Source organism: Homo sapiens, chromosome 12 (assembly GCF_000001405.40).
Source record: "Homo sapiens chromosome 12, GRCh38.p14 Primary Assembly".
NCBI lineage: Eukaryota > Metazoa > Chordata > Mammalia > Primates > Hominidae > Homo > Homo sapiens.
In genome coordinates, this window is record NC_000012.12 from 66,240,220 (window position 1) to 66,257,346 (window position 17,127).

Here is a 17,127-nt window from a genome sequence, read left to right on the forward strand (position 1 = left end):
ATCAGATCTTTATACCAACAGGGAAACAGGCTTAGGGGGGTTGTGCTAGTTGTGGGTAGATTTGGAGTTTCACAATTAAAGGAGGAACACCCATTACTGGGCCTTTGCACCGAGTGCCTAGACTCAGAAGGCACCAACAAGCAAAAACAAGCTTGAATACTGTGTCTCTCAGACCTGCCTAGGTTCAGTGGGGATGAAAAAGAAAGCTCCGCAGTCCCACAGGGGAATAAAGGGTTTCAGATTTGTAGCATTCCAGGCAGGATGCAGTGCACACTTAAGTTGGGGTGGGGTGCACAACTGTTTTAGTAGCCTGCAGGTTCTAGGAGAAACTGAGTCTTGCCTCATCTGGTTAGGGGAGGCAGGGCATCTGGTGAGGGGTGTCTCAGTGTTGCAACAGCCGTAATACAGACAGCACATGTGTGCTGTTGCCTCAGGCTGTCCCAGAGGGGCCGTTGGGTCCTCTTTATCTCTGGAGCCAATCTGTGGCTCCCTGCCCCCTCTTCCCCAGGTCCTTCTGTGGAGTCCTGGCCTTTCCTGAGAGTTTCCAGGCACCCAGGCGCTGGACTGCTGGACCCATATATATACTATATATATACCCACATATATATATATATAAAATATATCGGTATATATATTATATATATGTGGGTATATATATCTCTCTCTCTTTAAAAACCAATCATGCTCTTTCATGCCAAATATGGTATTTTCACTTGAATTCAAATCCTGCATTATAATCTAGGTGGAGCATCTTGTCTTATGTTTAAGGTCCAAGGGATTGAACTTAATTAGGAGATAAACTGGTGAGCAAAGAAAGCAATTCTCATTACAAAGTAGCATTTGTTTGGGGGATTCAGGTCCCCCCGAAAATTGTCCTAGAGACCCCTACTAATAGAGAGATTAAGTAACATCCTAGAGTCAGGTTACAAACTCATCATCTGTGTAGGATTCTCCATACTTCCTCAGTGTACAACCAATGATCATTCTGTTAAAGGAATTATCTGGAGAGGGGATGGCCTCTCTGTTAAGGTAAATAGCCTTGTGATAAAGAGTAGAACAAATCGATTGTAGAAGCATGAAATTGAGGATATGAACCATGGATATGGGTCAAAGATGTCTTTTATCTATCTCTTTGGTGGCCACAGTTGCTTGCAGGCTGCCCTTTTGCATGATATTGCCATGACTGTAGTTGTGTTAGGTTCTTAATTTTGTTAGTTTATTTTCACCCCACAGGATTAACTTACTCAGCTGACCTGCATGGAAGCTGAAGACACTTTGTGTTTGAACATTCTATTTAAGGTTGAAGCAGGGGAAAAGAATTAAGGTAGAAATTGATCGTTGAAGGGCCTTTTGCAATTTCCGCTTTCCTAAAACAGAACATCCTTCTTCCTCAGCTACCGCTAACCTTTATTTAGAACAGAATAAATCACTGGACTCAAAATTTATGTTATACACTAAAGTCAGCTGAAAAACGACTTATCTTTTCACCGATTGTCATTATTCAAATTGTAAATTCAGTACCCTAGAATAATTTCACATCTTGTTGATGGCCTTTCACTGACCCAAAGTCCTCTCTGGGTTTTATGGTGTAAGCATTGTTTGTGGTTACTCAACTCCCTTCTGCCCAACTTTCACAGAAGCTGACTCACCATTTGCTGAAAGCATCCCACCAGCTTTGCTATGGGTCAAATAAAGAATTAGATTGAAGGTTTTGTTGTTATTACTGTTGCTCTTTTCTCCCTTTTTGTACTTAAAAGATTCAGGGTTTTTTTGTGTGTGTGTGTGTGTTTCAAAAATTCAGCTTTTGCAGTCTCATGATTCTGGCATTGTCAATTATAATTCTATGCCTTTTTTTAGAGCTGTGATAGAGGAAGATGTTTAGGTGTTTGACATTGAATATCTGCCATTCAGAACATTCCCACCCTCCCCCTGTGCTGAAATGAAATGGGGCATGCAGAAGTGACTCCAAAGTTGAAGGGCAGAAGGTGGGGTCCTGGCAATGAAGGTTGGAGAACCTTTTTTTCCCACCTCGCCTCCTGGCCCACCGGCAAACTCCTGCATTCAAATGCCCCCAGGACTCTGAAACCCTCAGGGCATCTCCAGGAGCCTCAGACTTGATCTGATCCATTGAAGAGTCAACCTAGGGAAGAAGTGATTATGAACTGACAGTCTCTTCTTATCTAGAGCTGGAGAGAAGTCGGATCTGACTCTAGTCTGTTCCTCATCTGAGGTATGTCAGGATAGTCAACAGTTCTCCAAGTGAGAAAGTAAGAGTGGGTGAGGAGTGACAGATGGGGGTGTGTGAGGCCCAGGCTGGCTTTAGCAGCTGCTGGGTTCTCCAGGGAGAAGGGAGAAGGCAAGGAGAGAAATGACAACTGTGCTCATTGATACGAGCCTTGGGAACCAGGCCTCTCTGACCTTCCTTCCATAAATGCTAAGAGCACACAGCTGATAAGAGGCCCTAGAGCTCAGAAGGTGGGCTTTTTGGATTTTACAATTCCCTTGCCACCCTTAGCGGAAGGAGGAGTGAAATAAAGTTTAAAATGTGTCTTTATCCTTAAAAGACCGCGGGGTCTGGGCGCAGTAGCTCATGCCTGTAATCCCAGCACTTCGGGAGGCCGAGGCGGGTGGATCACCTGAAGTCAGAAGTTCAAGACCAGCCTGGTCAACATGGTGAAACTCCATCTCTACTAAAAATTAGCCGAGTGTAGTGGCAGGCGCCTGTAATCCCAGCTACTCAGGAGGCTGAGGCAGGAGACTCACTTGAACCCGGGAGGCAGAGGTTGCAGTGAGCTGAGATCGTGCCAATGCGCTCCAGCCTGGGGGACAAGAATGAAACTTTGTCTCGAAAAAAAAAAAAAGACCACCGGAAGTGCCTTTGTTTTTTCTGTTGTCAACTCAGCCCTAGACAAAGTCTGGACTAGAATCTTTAAGGCCTTAGCTTCATACATTGAACTGTTTCCCCCAAACTCTCTAAATAGAAGTAGGACTCTGAGTCCTCTGAACAGTAAGAACACTTGCAGTTCAGACCTATGGAACTGGGGCCTGCCCGTTAACCTACCTGTATAGGGATAGCAAAGACTTCTGGAGCTTTTGTAAGATCCAAAATTTGTTCAGAATTAAGAACTTCTTGATATCCCGTGGCTGTTGCTGTAGCACTTTTAGTAACAGCATGTCGTACTACAAATATGCCTCTTGGCATTTTGGATGGGAAGGTGTACTATTAGATGCTTTGGTTTCAGGAAATAAAGAGCAAGCTCTGAAGAGCCCTAAGCAAAGCTGGGAATTGCATGCCTTTCTGTTGGCTGCCCCACCTCCTTCTCAATATCCATCTGTTCTCTTAGAATTGATTACTAATCTTCCTCCTAGCTGCCATTTTTTGAGCATTACCAAGTGCTGGGGAGGACACTATGCACTTCGTTTTCCCCCTGCCAGAGTTCTGTTCTCCTCATTTCACATGAGAGGAGAGAGGGCACTGAGGCTTACATGGCGAAGGAAACTGTGGGTGGTCATGGAGCCAGGGAAAGGCAGAGCTCCTGGCTGTATGCAGTGGGAAATGGATCTCTCTCTTGGCTTATCCTTTCCGGTTCCTGCTTTGACAGCCCTTTGAAGGTAAAAGTAAGCCAATGCCTACCCCCAGCCAAAATGTCAGATGATTCTTAAGGTTTTTAATGTGACAACTGCTTATATTGACTATAAGCACTTTGCCTTTGTCTCTGCAAACATTTGTATTTTAAATAAGACTCAAAGACCAAAAAACAGAGATGAAACCATGGGATAGGGCTGCCATGAGGGCAGGGACTACCAAAGAGTCCTCAAATCATTCCAAGTTAGTGGCTCTGCGCTCATAAGCTAAGCATTTCACAGCACAGCTCTTGCACATAACAGACACATAATCAGCTGATTAAAACTCAGTTCATGTTCTCCGTAAGTGTAAGAAAAGCACAAGGAAAGCTGTTTTGGTTAACTTCAGTTTCTCTTAGTGAGAAAGCATCAGCTTTATCCAGCAACTTCACATATGTATCTTTAAGTTTGAAATGCCCACTGTTCATAGGTCAGGTTTTTATTCTAGGTTGCAGATAACACTTGGATTTGTACATTAAGAAAAATGAAAGAATGTTCTCCAGTTCATGGAAATTTGTTTGGCTTTATTTTGACAGTGTTTCGAATTAACCAGATATGAAGAAGGTGAGTTTATAGTATGTTTGTTTACACTGAAGTGCCTTTATGATATTTTGTCTTGTTTGTCCCTGATCACAATTTTAGTGCAAACATCCTTTTGGATGATCAGTTTCAACCCAAACTAACTGATTTTGCCATGGCACACTTCCGGTCCCACCTAGAACATCAGAGTTGTACCATAAATATGACCAGCAGCAGCAGTAAACATCTGTGGTACATGCCAGAAGAGTACATCAGACAGGGGAAACTTTCCATTAAAACAGATGTCTACAGCTTTGGAATTGTGAGTACCAACTGCCAGTTAACAAAGGAGAGTTTATTGCCAAGAATGTTCTAGATTCTAAGAATTTTTTAAAGAGTTTTAACTTTTGACTCATTGATTTCCTGTTAGCTCATCTTATATATTAATTTTGTGTAATCAAGCAATTAATAAAATATAAAATCATTAATCAGAATGAACTATATTCATAGTCATGGTTAATAGTTGCAACAAATTGTGTGTATATTTTTAAGATATATAGCTGACTTTCTATATATTCCTTGTAGGTAATAATGGAAGTTCTAACAGGATGTAGAGTAGTGTTAGATGATCCAAAACATATCCAGCTGGTAAGAATTGTTTTCATCCTGGCACCTATCTCTTGGTCATTTTTTGATCAAGTTCTCTGTGATAAAATTGTCTCCCTCTCTTCCAAGCGGGATCTCCTTAGAGAATTGATGGAGAAGAGAGGCCTGGATTCATGTCTCTCATTTCTAGATAAGAAAGTGCCTCCCTGCCCTCGGAATTTCTCTGCCAAGCTCTTCTGTTTGGCAGGCCGGTGTGCTGCAACGCGGGCAAAGTTAAGACCATCAATGGATGAAGTGAGTATATACATGGTTTTATTCAAAACTGAGCCCACAGAACCATGGAAAATCTAAACTAGATAAATTGTGTATCTAAGTGAATTATTTGTTAATGAGACAAATCCAGCCTCCAACAGAGAATTCCAACATAATAGTGTTTCCAGGTCAAAAAGCCACATCATTTGGTACTCTGTTAGAGGTCATTTCTAGGTGGAACCAAGACTCCACAAAAAATTTAATGTAAAGACATAAATGAGCAGTTTGCAGGGAATATTTTATTCAATCTTTTTTTTTTTTTTTTTTTTTTTTTGGAGACAGAGTCTCACTCTGCTGCCCAGGCTGGAGTGCAGTGGCACGGCCCACTGCAACCTCCACCTCCCCAGTTCAAGTGATTCTACTGCCTCAGCCTCCCAAGTAGCTGGGATTATTAGGCACGAGCCACCACGCCTGGCTAATTTTTGTATTTTTAATAGAGGCGGGGTTTCACATGTTGGCCAGGCTGGTCTCGAACTCCTGACCTCAAGTGATCCACCCGCCTTGGCCTCCCAAAGTGTTCAGTCTTCATTAAGAGATCTGGCTCATTATAAATGCAGCATATATTTTCCTTATCCATTTTTTTAAATTTATTAATCTATCCATAGACTTAATCACCCATTCATTTATTTGTTTATTTGCACAAATAAACAAATAATGCCTACTCTGTGTGTGCCAGACTTTGTATTGGGTGCTGGGAATATATCAGTGATCAAGATGCAATGACTACCCTCAAGCTCACTGTTAAGAGGAGTCAGATCAGTAAACATAGAATGTTGGTCCAGCAAGAGAAACATGATGATAGACAGAAGGCCAGGTTGCCGTGGAGCATGAATTCAGAATACACACCAGCCCATGGAAGTTAAGGAAGCTTTTTGATAGATATGACGGTTTAGCTAAGATCTGAAAAACAGGTTGGATTTAGGCAGCAGTAAGGATGGAAAGACATCCCAAGCAGAGAGAATGAATACCTGCAAAGGCTCCAAGGTGATGGAGCCCATGGTGCTAAGACCACAGATAATTCAGCATCATGGAGGGGGAGCAGTGAGGGAAAGCCTGGAGTGGTTAAAATAATAGAAGCTTCCATGACAGAGGGACATGAATTCCATTCTAGGAGTTTGGATTTTATCCTGAGTCTATCATAGAGCCATGCAAGGGTTTTAAACAAGGAGTTGACATAATCAGAATATAAACAGCACTGGCCTTCGAGGCAGGAGAGCTGTATTCCAGGCCTGACACCACCCGTGAGAGTTGTGTGGAGCCAAGGGCTCAGGAAGGAGCTATGACATATATCGTGCAGGGACAGAGAATTGGAAGCCCGGAGATCCGGTGTCAAACAGCAGGTCTGTACCTTACTGACTAATGATACTGCTTCCCTTTTCTGAGCCTCAGGCTTTATCATCTATAAAATGAGAATGATTAATGTTGTTTGTACAGGTTAAATGAGATAATATATGTGAAAGCACTTTGTAAACTGTAAAGCTCTCTATATGTATTTTTTTAATTACGTGTGTGTGTGTATATGAAGGTATGTTGTATGGTGTATTAATTACATCAAGGGTTCTCACATCTAGCTGTACATCCAAATCATCCGAAGCTTCTAACATACAGATTCCTGGACCTTCAACACCTTATGTTTTGAATGACAATCTCTATGTTGGGACCAAGGGATATGCACTTTAAAAGAGCTCCCTAAAACTTCTGGCATTTAGTCAGGGGCCCTGGCTCACGACTGTAATCCCAGCACTTTGAGAGTCTGAGGTGGGTGGATCAGCTGAGGTCAGGAGTTTGAAACCAGCCTGGCCAACATGGCGAAACCCCATCTCTACTAAAAATACAAAAATTAGCTGGGCATGGTGGCACGTGCCTGTAATACCAGCTACTTGGGAGGCTAAGGCAGGAGGATTGCCTGAACCTGGGAGGCGTAGGTTGCAGTTAGCCGAGATTATCCCACTGCGCCACAGCCTGGGCAACAGAGTGAGACTCCATCTCAAAAAAAAACAAAACAAACAAACAAACAAAACAAGAACAACAACAAAAAACTGGCATTTAAGAATTACAGGTTGGGCCCACCATTTCCTTATTCCCTTCCAATCTTCCACATATTATGGTTGAAGTAAAAAATGTAGAGACTTGCCCAAGTTCACAAAGCTAGTTGGTGGCAAATCTGAGGCTTAAGTCAGGTCTCTTGGTATTTACTTTAGTGTAGTTTCTTTTATACCTGGTTTTAAGTCACTTAATTTACTCCTCAAAATAAAGGGCGTTAGCTAATCTTTAAGATCCCTTCTAATTCAAAATTCTATAGCTGAACTAATTTCATGAAAATGAAAGAATATTCTTTATAGGTAGAGTGATAAAAGGTAAAAGGAAAGATTATTCAAACTTAATTTAATGTCTGTTTGCTTCTTTGTTATTAGGTTTTAAATACTCTTGAAAGTACTCAAGCCAGCTTGTATTTTGCTGAAGATCCTCCCACATCACTAAAGTCCTTCAGGTGTCCTTCTCCTCTATTCCTGGAGAATGTACCAAGTATTCCAGTGGAAGATGATGAAAGCCAGAATAACAATTTACTACCTTCTGATGAAGGCCTGAGGATAGACAGAATGACTCAGAAAACTCCTTTTGAATGCAGCCAGTCTGAGGTTATGTTTCTGAGCTTGGACAAAAAGCCAGAGAGCAAGAGAAATGAGGAAGCTTGCAACATGCCCAGTTCTTCTTGTGAAGAAAGTTGGTTCCCAAAGTATATAGTTCCATCCCAGGACTTAAGGCCCTATAAGGTAAATATAGATCCTTCTTCAGAAGCTCCAGGGCATTCTTGCAGGAGCAGGCCAGTGGAGAGCAGCTGTTCCTCCAAATTTTCCTGGGATGAATATGAACAGTACAAAAAAGAATAAATTCTACCAGAAGATAAAGAAAAAAGCAAGTATTGCATAGGCACCTGAGCATAGGTATGACCTTGGGAAGACATTGGCTCCATAAGCAATGCCAAGAGAATGATCAATAGTGAGTTTGGGTGATGCAGATAAACAATCTGGATAATTCCATTTCTTTTTTCCCAAACCCTCAAACAGAGTGCCTTAAAAAATTGTTTTATCAGGATAATTGTCTCATGACCAAATCCACGCTCAATTAGAGCCATTCAAAATTCCTTAAGATCATGGGTTCTGACTTCAGCCAAACAAAACAATCAAAACCTACCAAAAAGGGACTGGATTGTAATGTCCTCTCCATCATCCTCAGTGTGAGTCCTCAGAGCCTCCATCTGCCAAGAACATTCAGTTGGATTCCATCGTTTGGTTTAGCTTGCTTGCACGGGTTGTAGGAAATGTCTAATTTGTAAATGTTAATAGATACCTTTGGAAAGAATCACCTTGTTATTCTGATTGACCCCTCTTGTTTTTTGGTTAATCCCTGACTAGCCTGCTTGTCTGAAAATGAGCCAGGTTCACCCTTAGCTACGGCATGCTCTGGGTTGAAAGGGGATTTCTTCCCAAGATCTATCCTAAACTCTTAGGACAGTTTATCCTGTATTGACTATTATTACAGCTTTTTAAAAACAGACTTAGTGACCTATTATATCTTAAGGAGACTATGTGAAATGTCCATCAAGTAATTTTTATTCCTGAGAAAATGGCTGGTCAAGGGCCTAGGTCAGCTTTTTGTTTAATCTACACCTTTCAACTCTGGGCCTTCATTCCTGCTGTTTCTTGGATCTCCCTCTTTTGAAATCCTACCAATCATCAGAGCTCTACAAAACAGCCACCTCCTGGAAGCTTCCCTAATCTCTACAACCAGAAGTACTCCCTTTATCAGTATTTCCACAGCAATTTCTTTGTATTTCTATTTTATATTTATCACTTTCTGAATTATATCAAAGCTGCTTGTCTTATCTCTTTTTTTTTTTGAGACGGAGTCTCGCTCTGTCATCCAGGCTGGAGTGCAGTGGCACAATCTCGGCTCACCGCAAGGTCTGCCTCCCGGGTTCACGCCATTCTCCTGCCTCAGCCTCCCGAGTAAAGGTGGGACTACAGGCGCCCGCCACTACGCCCGGCTAATTTTTTGTATTTTTAGTAGAGACGGGGTTTCACCATGTTAGGCAGGATGGTCTCGATCTCCTGACCTCATGATCCGCCTGCCTGGCCTCCCAAAGTGCTGGGATTACAGGCGTGAGCCACCGCGCCCAGCCTTCATCTCTTTTACTAGGTTGTAAACTCCCTATATTAGTTTTCTATTGTTTTTGTAACACATTATCACAAATTTAGTGACTTAAAGTAACATAAATTAATTATTTTGCAGTTCTGGAGGTCAGAATTCCTTAGCATTCTTTCTGGAGGCTGTTGGGGAGAACTCACTGCCTTGCCTTTTCCAGCTTCTAGAGGCCACCTGCCTTCTTTGGCTCATGGCCTCTTCCTCCGTCTTCAAAGCCAGCAACGTGACATTTCAGATCTCCCTCTCTCTGTCTGTCTCACCGCATCTCTTCACTACCCTCTTCCTCTCATTCTGGCCCTTCTGCATGTCTTTTATAAAGACCTTTGTGATTTCACTGGGCCCACTCATATAAGCCAGGAAAATCTCTGTGTCTCAGATCCTTAATTTAATTACACCTGCAAAGTCCGTTTTCTCGTGTAAAGTAACATATTCACAGGTTTCTGGAATTGGGACGTGGACATCTTCGGGGGACCATTACTCTGTCTGTCATACTCCCTGAGTGTGTAAGGGCCATCTCTTCAGAGCCTAATGTGTCATCCTACACAGAGCAGGTGTTTCCTTATAAATTAAGTTGAATTAAATTACCCCTATGAAGCCACATAATCAATAATTCAGCTATAATAAACATTGCCGAATAAATTAACAAAGGGAGGATAATGACTCCTTATGATGATGGATAGAAACACTGAAGAAAACCATTTTCAGAGGATTTACTGAATTTTCCTCTCCAAGGAGCTTGTAATAGAAGGGTAAACCTCTAGTTTCTTGTCCAGCAGAGGAATAGGCTCATGTCTTTTGTTTTATTTTATTTTTTTGGTGAGTCAGTATGGTTGGGTTAATCATATTCACATTAGATTCCATGTTGAAGAACAACTAATCAAAGAAGAAAATCATCAGGAATCAGGGTGAGATTAACAGACCAAGGTCAGAAACATGGAGTTACAATTTTCCAAAAAAGCACGAAGTGAGATTAAAACCACAGTAAGTCTTAGTCTGACTGACAGGCTTTATACAGGCCCTCGGTAAGCAGTTGGGAGAACCCATGCCCACCACTGCTCTGTACGGTATCTGGCTGCTCAGAGCTCTCTGATTCACAAAAGAGATCATCAAGAATTGACTCTGTGTTAAACTGTTTTTCACTTAGAATATGGACCCCCACCAATACATTCAATGAAGGGTCATTAAGGAAGCTCTGATTAACACCAGGCCCATGCAGTTACTCCGCACATATAATCTGTGGGTATTATGTTGATTTGAACTTGCTTAGCTGACTTAAAGCAGGGTTTCTCAAACTGTAGTATGCATCAGAATGACTTGGAAAGCTGGTTAAAAACGCAGATTGCTGGGTCCACCCAGCTTCTGATGCAATAGGTCTGGGGTTAGAAATTTTGCTTTCTAATGAGTTCCCAGGTGATGCTGATGCCAATGATGTGAAGCCCGCTCTTCACATCCGTGAAAATCGCTGCCTTAAGGTGCTCTTAAATTGTTATAGATTGGTAGATCCTACCTTTCCATCACTGGTATGTTTTTTGAGAAAAGGATCCTTTCTTTTCATTCTGTTATATTCATCCTATTACATAGGATGTTGGTTAGCACAGAGTGGGAGCTCTAGAAAGATTGTTGACCAATCATCTTATTGACTAGACCATCTTTCTAGAGTATAACTATTTTGGACACCTCAAAGATGAAGTCAGATAAGCTGGCAGTGACCTGATTAACGTTGTGGTAAGCAGATGCCACTGTGGCTGGGAAGTACCAAATCTTCTGTTGAGTGATTCAGTCTTCCTGACTAGATTTGCCTTCTAGTGGGTGTATTAATAAGCGTTAGTTGATATGAATTAAATGTTGCAACTTTCTATGGGTAATAAGAGGATACCTTTATAGTTTCATGATGTGGAGACCAAGATACATAAGAAAGCAAGAATGAGTCTCCGGGTGTTCCCTCTGATCAGCAAACATGAATTCATAATTTCATTTACTCTCATTTTTGTAATGCACTCTGAGCAATCCTCCAGGCAGATCCTATTTACTAAGCTTCAGGCTTTTGTCCCATTTTATAATGCCCAAACACATGGAGAAAACATTTTGTTGTTTTTAAAAACAGGTATGGGATTTCTGATATAATCAATTTTATTGACTTCTTGGGAGTTGTAATGATCTGTGACTCACTGCATAATATTGTAGTTTTATAGGGTGGCACATCACCCTGTGTAAAACAACTTTAATGACCTGAGGACTGATGAGTACAGGAAGTGAGGTTTATCATGAGTAGCATTTATTAAGCATCTGCTAGAATCAAAGCACTGCATTAGCTACTAAGGTACAAAGTAAGACACAGTTTAATAAGGAAGACAGGGCATCTACCCAAGTCAACAGTTCAGTGACATCTGTTATTTGAACCACACACCAATGCAACCGAAGTAAATGCTGAAAGGGTGAGAAGAAGGAATAGATTACTATGCATTTTTGAGAGGATGAAGAAGGCTTCTTGGAGAAGGTTTCTGAAAAGAGATACGGAATTAAGAGAAATAGAAAAGAGCACTGACGAAGCACTCAGGATGGCTATTCAAGGAATTGGGGATCCACAGCAGCTGTGCACAACCATCCCTAATGCCAGAAAAATGGGGTAAGGGTGAAGGGAACTGGGTCTAGAGCTTTGCATGTTTTTTTCTGGTTAACCCTTAGAGTCACCCTGAAGGTGTGGATCCCATCTTATAATAAGGTGAGGACACTGAGTCAGGAAACTAACTTGCTAAAATCAAGTCCTCCCAGTCCTCCCATCAGGTCCTTCCAGATCTGGAGGAGCCAGGATTTGAACTCACATTTGTCTGACTTCAAAATCCATGCTTTTTCTTGTGTTCCAAATTGCACAATGGAGTCACTGCCAGTTCAAGCTCCTATGAAAAGGGATGGATGTGAAAAGTCATTTGTTGATTCCACAGATTTTTAGTAGGTACCATGTCTCCTGCCTTTATCACTATCCTACTCCTCTGCTACAACTTCTCTGCTACAGGCACCCACTGCAGTTACTTGATATGAGTTAAATGAATCCATCCATCCAAACTTCCATTCATTGAATAAATACTTAGCAATGGCTTCCTTTGTATCAGGCACTATTCTAGGAGCTGGGGCTACAGTGCAGATGGAAACCAGCAAAGCTCACTGCCCTCATGGAGCTTATATGTAAGTGAATAAATCTCAGGGTGGTTCTCCTGTCATAGGTCCTGGCTCCTCTGCCAGCTCTTCCAAATGGGTTCAGAGAGGTTTTCTCCTTGTCCTGTTGTGTAACTGATAATCCCATGGTGGACCTCACTTTGCTATTCATATGCACTAAGTAGTTTATGGTGTGCTTTGTGGCTGGCAATTGTGACAGATTCTATTCTTCTATTGGTATGTGGTTTCTTTGGGGCATTTGTTTGGATACTGATGGCATCTTCCGGGGGTCTGAGGCACCTACACAAACCTCAGGTCACTATCACGTGATACTGGAGTTGCCTGTTAAATTATATTTCTTCTTCCACAAAACTGCAGGTTCCCTGAGGGAAAGGTCTATGTCCTGCTCATTTTTGGATCCCTAATGGCTGGCACAGTACCTGGTGCATAATATGGTTCAACAAATATTTGTAAAATGAATGAATCAAATAGTCCTTCAAAGCATCTTCAGAATCAAGATTGTCATCTAGATTGCACCCGAAGTTTATCTTTCTAGTATTCAGAATATAATCAATCATTGCTTAAATTATTCCATTTCATCATTCTTGAATAAAAGCTACTAATTTTAAATACTAATATCTGAGATATCTTCGAAAAGAAGATTAGTCGTTGTATGTGTTGCTTATAAATTTTCTCTATGGTGGAAAATATTCCCAAACCATGTCTAAGCAATGAAAAACCAGTGTTCTGGCAGGAAATAAACTGATGTTTGTTGTGTTTTGTATCTGTCTTCCCGTTCCAAATCATTTATATATACTTGATGGTCTGTGGGCTTGACTTGCAAGTATTTTCCTGGGAGACATTTTTATTCAAAAGACCTGTATTGCCTGCCAAACCTTCATTTAAGAGACTCATTATGGATGTCATCTGCATCATTGCAAACTTTTCTGGTCGTCTCTATAAATAGCAAGATAATATTTACAGAGTTTTACATTGGCTCTTGAATTTTAAAATATTCTTATAGACAAACATTAATTGGAATGGGGGGTAAGGAGGTAGGAATGGCTTACTTGCGGAAATGCAGGCTCATTGTTGTGTCTAGTAGGTGCTAGGTGCATTCACACATCTCTTAAGCTTTAAACAACCTATTGAGCCGGTTTCCATTTCCTTGATCTATTAGATTTAAAAAAATGAAGCATAAAGGAGTTGGCTCTTGCCCTAAGTCATACTACTGATGGAATGAGAATACAAACCAAAAACACTTTATTCAAGTCCAGGAAATATCTGCCTTGAAAAAGAATAACTTAAAAATTAAAAGTGTCCTCTATTTGAACATGAAAACAGCTAATAAAGATGTGTTATTTTATTTTATTATTATTAATTTTGTCCTCCCATATTGGCAAAGATAAAGCAATTGACAAAAATGGAATTCTTGTTCAATACTGGCAGGAGTGAAAATTGGTAGAACCTTTCTAGAAGGCAATTTGGCAACATGTATGAAAACCTAAATGTTGATACACCTTTACCCAGCAGTTTGTTTAGGAATTTATCCTAATGAATAAAAGTTGTCCAAGTCTTCAAACATGAGCCCAAAGGTATATTTCATGATGTTTATGATATTAAAACATTGGAAACAACTGAAACATCCTTCAGTAAAAGATGGATTAAATAAATTCCATGCAGTTGTCATTTAAAAATATTTAGATATATGTTTATTGCTATGGATATATGTTCCCAAAATATTATTGAATCAAAAAGTAGACTACAGGATATATGTTGAATATGAGCTCATTTATAACATTGAATATTTTAAGATAATGTATGTTTCATAGAGAGATCTTCACCAAATGTTAAGGATTTTTTTTTCTGGGCTGTGGTATTTGGGTGATCTTTACATTCTTCAGACTCATGTGTGTTTGAAACTTTTTATAATGAACATATATCATTTTTATTAGAAAAGAATAAAGTTTTTGAAAAAAAAAACAGTCATTTTCTACATTTCTACATTTACTTGGCTCTTTGCTTGGTTGTGCCCTTGGTGGCAACTAGCAACTAGTAATAATGCTTCTATTCCACTGCTCTTTATTATTTTTATCTTCCTACCTTAGTAATTGAAGCTATGAAATGGATTTGTCTGGTATCCCTTGAGTAACAAGTCTTGAGAAGGCATGTGACAAAGCAATGCAAGAGGCAAAAACCAGATAAGCTGAAATACAGAAAAGCAGATACAGATCACAGTATACAACTGAGAGTGTTTTGTAATTAAATATTAGTTGATTTTGCTAAAATCTTTTTTAAATTACCGGTAAGATTTATACTTACAAATCCCTACTTCAAGGAGTTATCTGCAGTTAAATGAGAAGATCTTTGCGGACATAAATTTTCCACCACAAAGTATTCATTCTCCAGACTTGTATCCCACTATCCATTTTTAGTTTACATAAAATTTTTACCTTGCTGTAGTTTTAGTTGAAAATAAAACTTGCAACAGTGCAGAGGAAATGTGACTGAATACAGTGTTTTTCTACAGCAGATAGAGATGAACCTGTGTAAGGATGCTAATGGGATTCACAATGCATTAATTATAAAGGGAAATAGCAAAGTATACTCCAGGGTAAAATAGCAACTCTGAGTTCTAGCTGAGGGGACTGTTTTGTGCACATAACTAAGTTACGAAAGTGTGTAAATATGATTTTAAAACATACTTCCTAGGCAGATCCAGCTAAAAGATAAATGAGTGCTGGTTTTTGAGAGCATAAAAGAGCCACAATTTTTTTATGATACCAAATTAATATTTTGATGCTACTTTGTGTTTTCTGGAAGGAAAATGCCGACTGATACAACTGTACCCTCACTGCAAAGAGTTCAGCAAAAGAGAATTTAGGAAATCTAATACATATAGTGTAAAATGGGATCATTTCTAAACGGCACATTAGAGTGAGGTTACTCTAGTAATCTTCTTAATGTTCTTAACACCATTATTCACTAATTATAATTTCATGTCATTCTAAATGTGTATAGGCTAATTATAGTGCAGTTGCTGGACCATTAAATACTGGGTCTTATGATATTTCTTTTTCTTATGATTATAACCCAGGATTTTAAAAAACAGCCACAATGACTTCAGCCAAGGGTAAATATGAATCTATGACCTTTTATTGTTTTAATTTTGTATGTCCTAGGGGAAAATTTAAGATTCTAGCATGCTTACAAAGCCAAATATGCATGTTTATATTAACTCACTGCTGACAGCTCTAAGGCTATTACTTGAGACAGCAGGCAGAGCAATCTCTGACATTTTCATTATGCATTTGTCTAGCAGCTTGAAGAGGGGAAATAATTCATGTGATTATGAATAGCCTATCTTGGTCATTAAAATGAATTTCCCTAATAGAAAAATGATCACTGTATTTTAGAAGACATATTCTGACATGTCTCCATCTTTCTATCTCATATCCCAGCATTATCATTTCTAATTTCAAAAGCAGTTGAATGAACCAAGTAGCATCACTGCCTTCTGTTTAAAAGGTCTCATCAATTACAGTGAAACTACAACTTCATTTCACTTTAGCCTCTATTTCCAAGGCCACACTCTAGACCCTATCATCACCTGCAACTGCTACATATCAGAAATCATAATATTTTTCCATAAACAAAAATAGTATGTTTTATGACCTCATAAAGATCCTATTATCTGATCCATCAGTGTTCTCCAAAGAAACAGTCAATAGCATATATATAGATGGGTAAGAGGAGACTTATTATGGGAATTGGCTCCCACAATTATAGAGGCTAAGAAGTTTCACAATCTGCCGTCTGCACACTGAAGAGCCAGGAAAGCCAGTGGGGTAATTCTGTCCTGGTCCAAAGGCCTGGGAAGGGGGTATTGGGGCACTGGTTTCAGAGTCCAGAGGCCTGAGATCAAGAGCTCTGATGTCCAAGGGCAGGAGAAGATGGATGTTCCAGCTCAAGGAGAGAAAGTGAATTCTCCCTTCCTCTGCCTTTTTGTTCTATCTGGGCCCTCAAGAGCTGGGTTGATGGCCACCTGCATGACGAGGGCTTCTTTACTCAGTGCACCAATTCAAATGCTAATCTCTTCCAGGGGCGCCCTCATGGAAACACCCAGAAATGATGGTTTACCTACTACCCAAGTCAAGCTGACATATAAAATTAACCATCACAGTTGTTTAGGCTTCCTTCCCTGATGGCAGGCACCACACCTCCATTCCTGAAGGGTCTAAGTCCTTAGTGATCCTGCCTTTTTTGGAGTGTTATGATTTTACATCAACATTCATTCCTGGTTGCAGAACCATTAGCACCCAGAAGTCCCTGGATTCCAGACTTAAGCCTCCCTGCTCTCATTGTGTTCATAAATCTGATTTCCTCTTGATAACTGCAATCAATACCCAGAGCCATAGAACGACTTCTTTCTGTCTTCTTGGTTCAGTGGCATGAAGAACCCAAAATGACAGTGTCTCAACTCCCTGGTGCATAAACCCTATTGTGTCCACATGGAATCATTTCTCACTTGAGATCCAAGACCTTTCAATTGGCAGAACTGAGAGTTGAAGAGATAGAAAGTCAAAAACAGAAAACAAAAACAAAACATGACTGGGTACCTAGAAGTAAAAGTGAGAAGAGCCATTTCGACTTCACCCTTTGGTTGCCAGACCTCTGTTTTCTGGCTGTGAATAGAAGAACACCATG

The 17,127-nt window shown here is 40.2% G+C and overlaps 1 protein-coding gene and 1 non-coding gene across 3 annotated transcripts in view; both read left to right on the forward strand.

The window, feature by feature from the left end:
• IRAK3 (interleukin 1 receptor associated kinase 3) overlaps positions 1–14,403 on the forward strand; it is a 65,409-nt gene extending 51,006 nt beyond the window's left edge. For both annotated transcript variants that reach the window (NM_007199.3, NM_001142523.2), the window contains 4 exons: positions 4,267–4,465; positions 4,729–4,791; positions 4,879–5,043; positions 7,476–14,403. In NM_007199.3, coding sequence (NP_009130.2) covers positions 4,267–4,465; positions 4,729–4,791; positions 4,879–5,043; positions 7,476–7,952 — 904 coding nt within the window. In that variant the 3' untranslated portion in view covers positions 7,953–14,403. The remainder of the gene's footprint in view (positions 1–4,266; positions 4,466–4,728; positions 4,792–4,878; positions 5,044–7,475) is intronic.
• On the forward strand, positions 10,863–10,938 carry MIR6502 (microRNA 6502). The gene has a single exon (NR_106757.1). It is a non-coding gene; the product is annotated as a microRNA 6502 (primary transcript).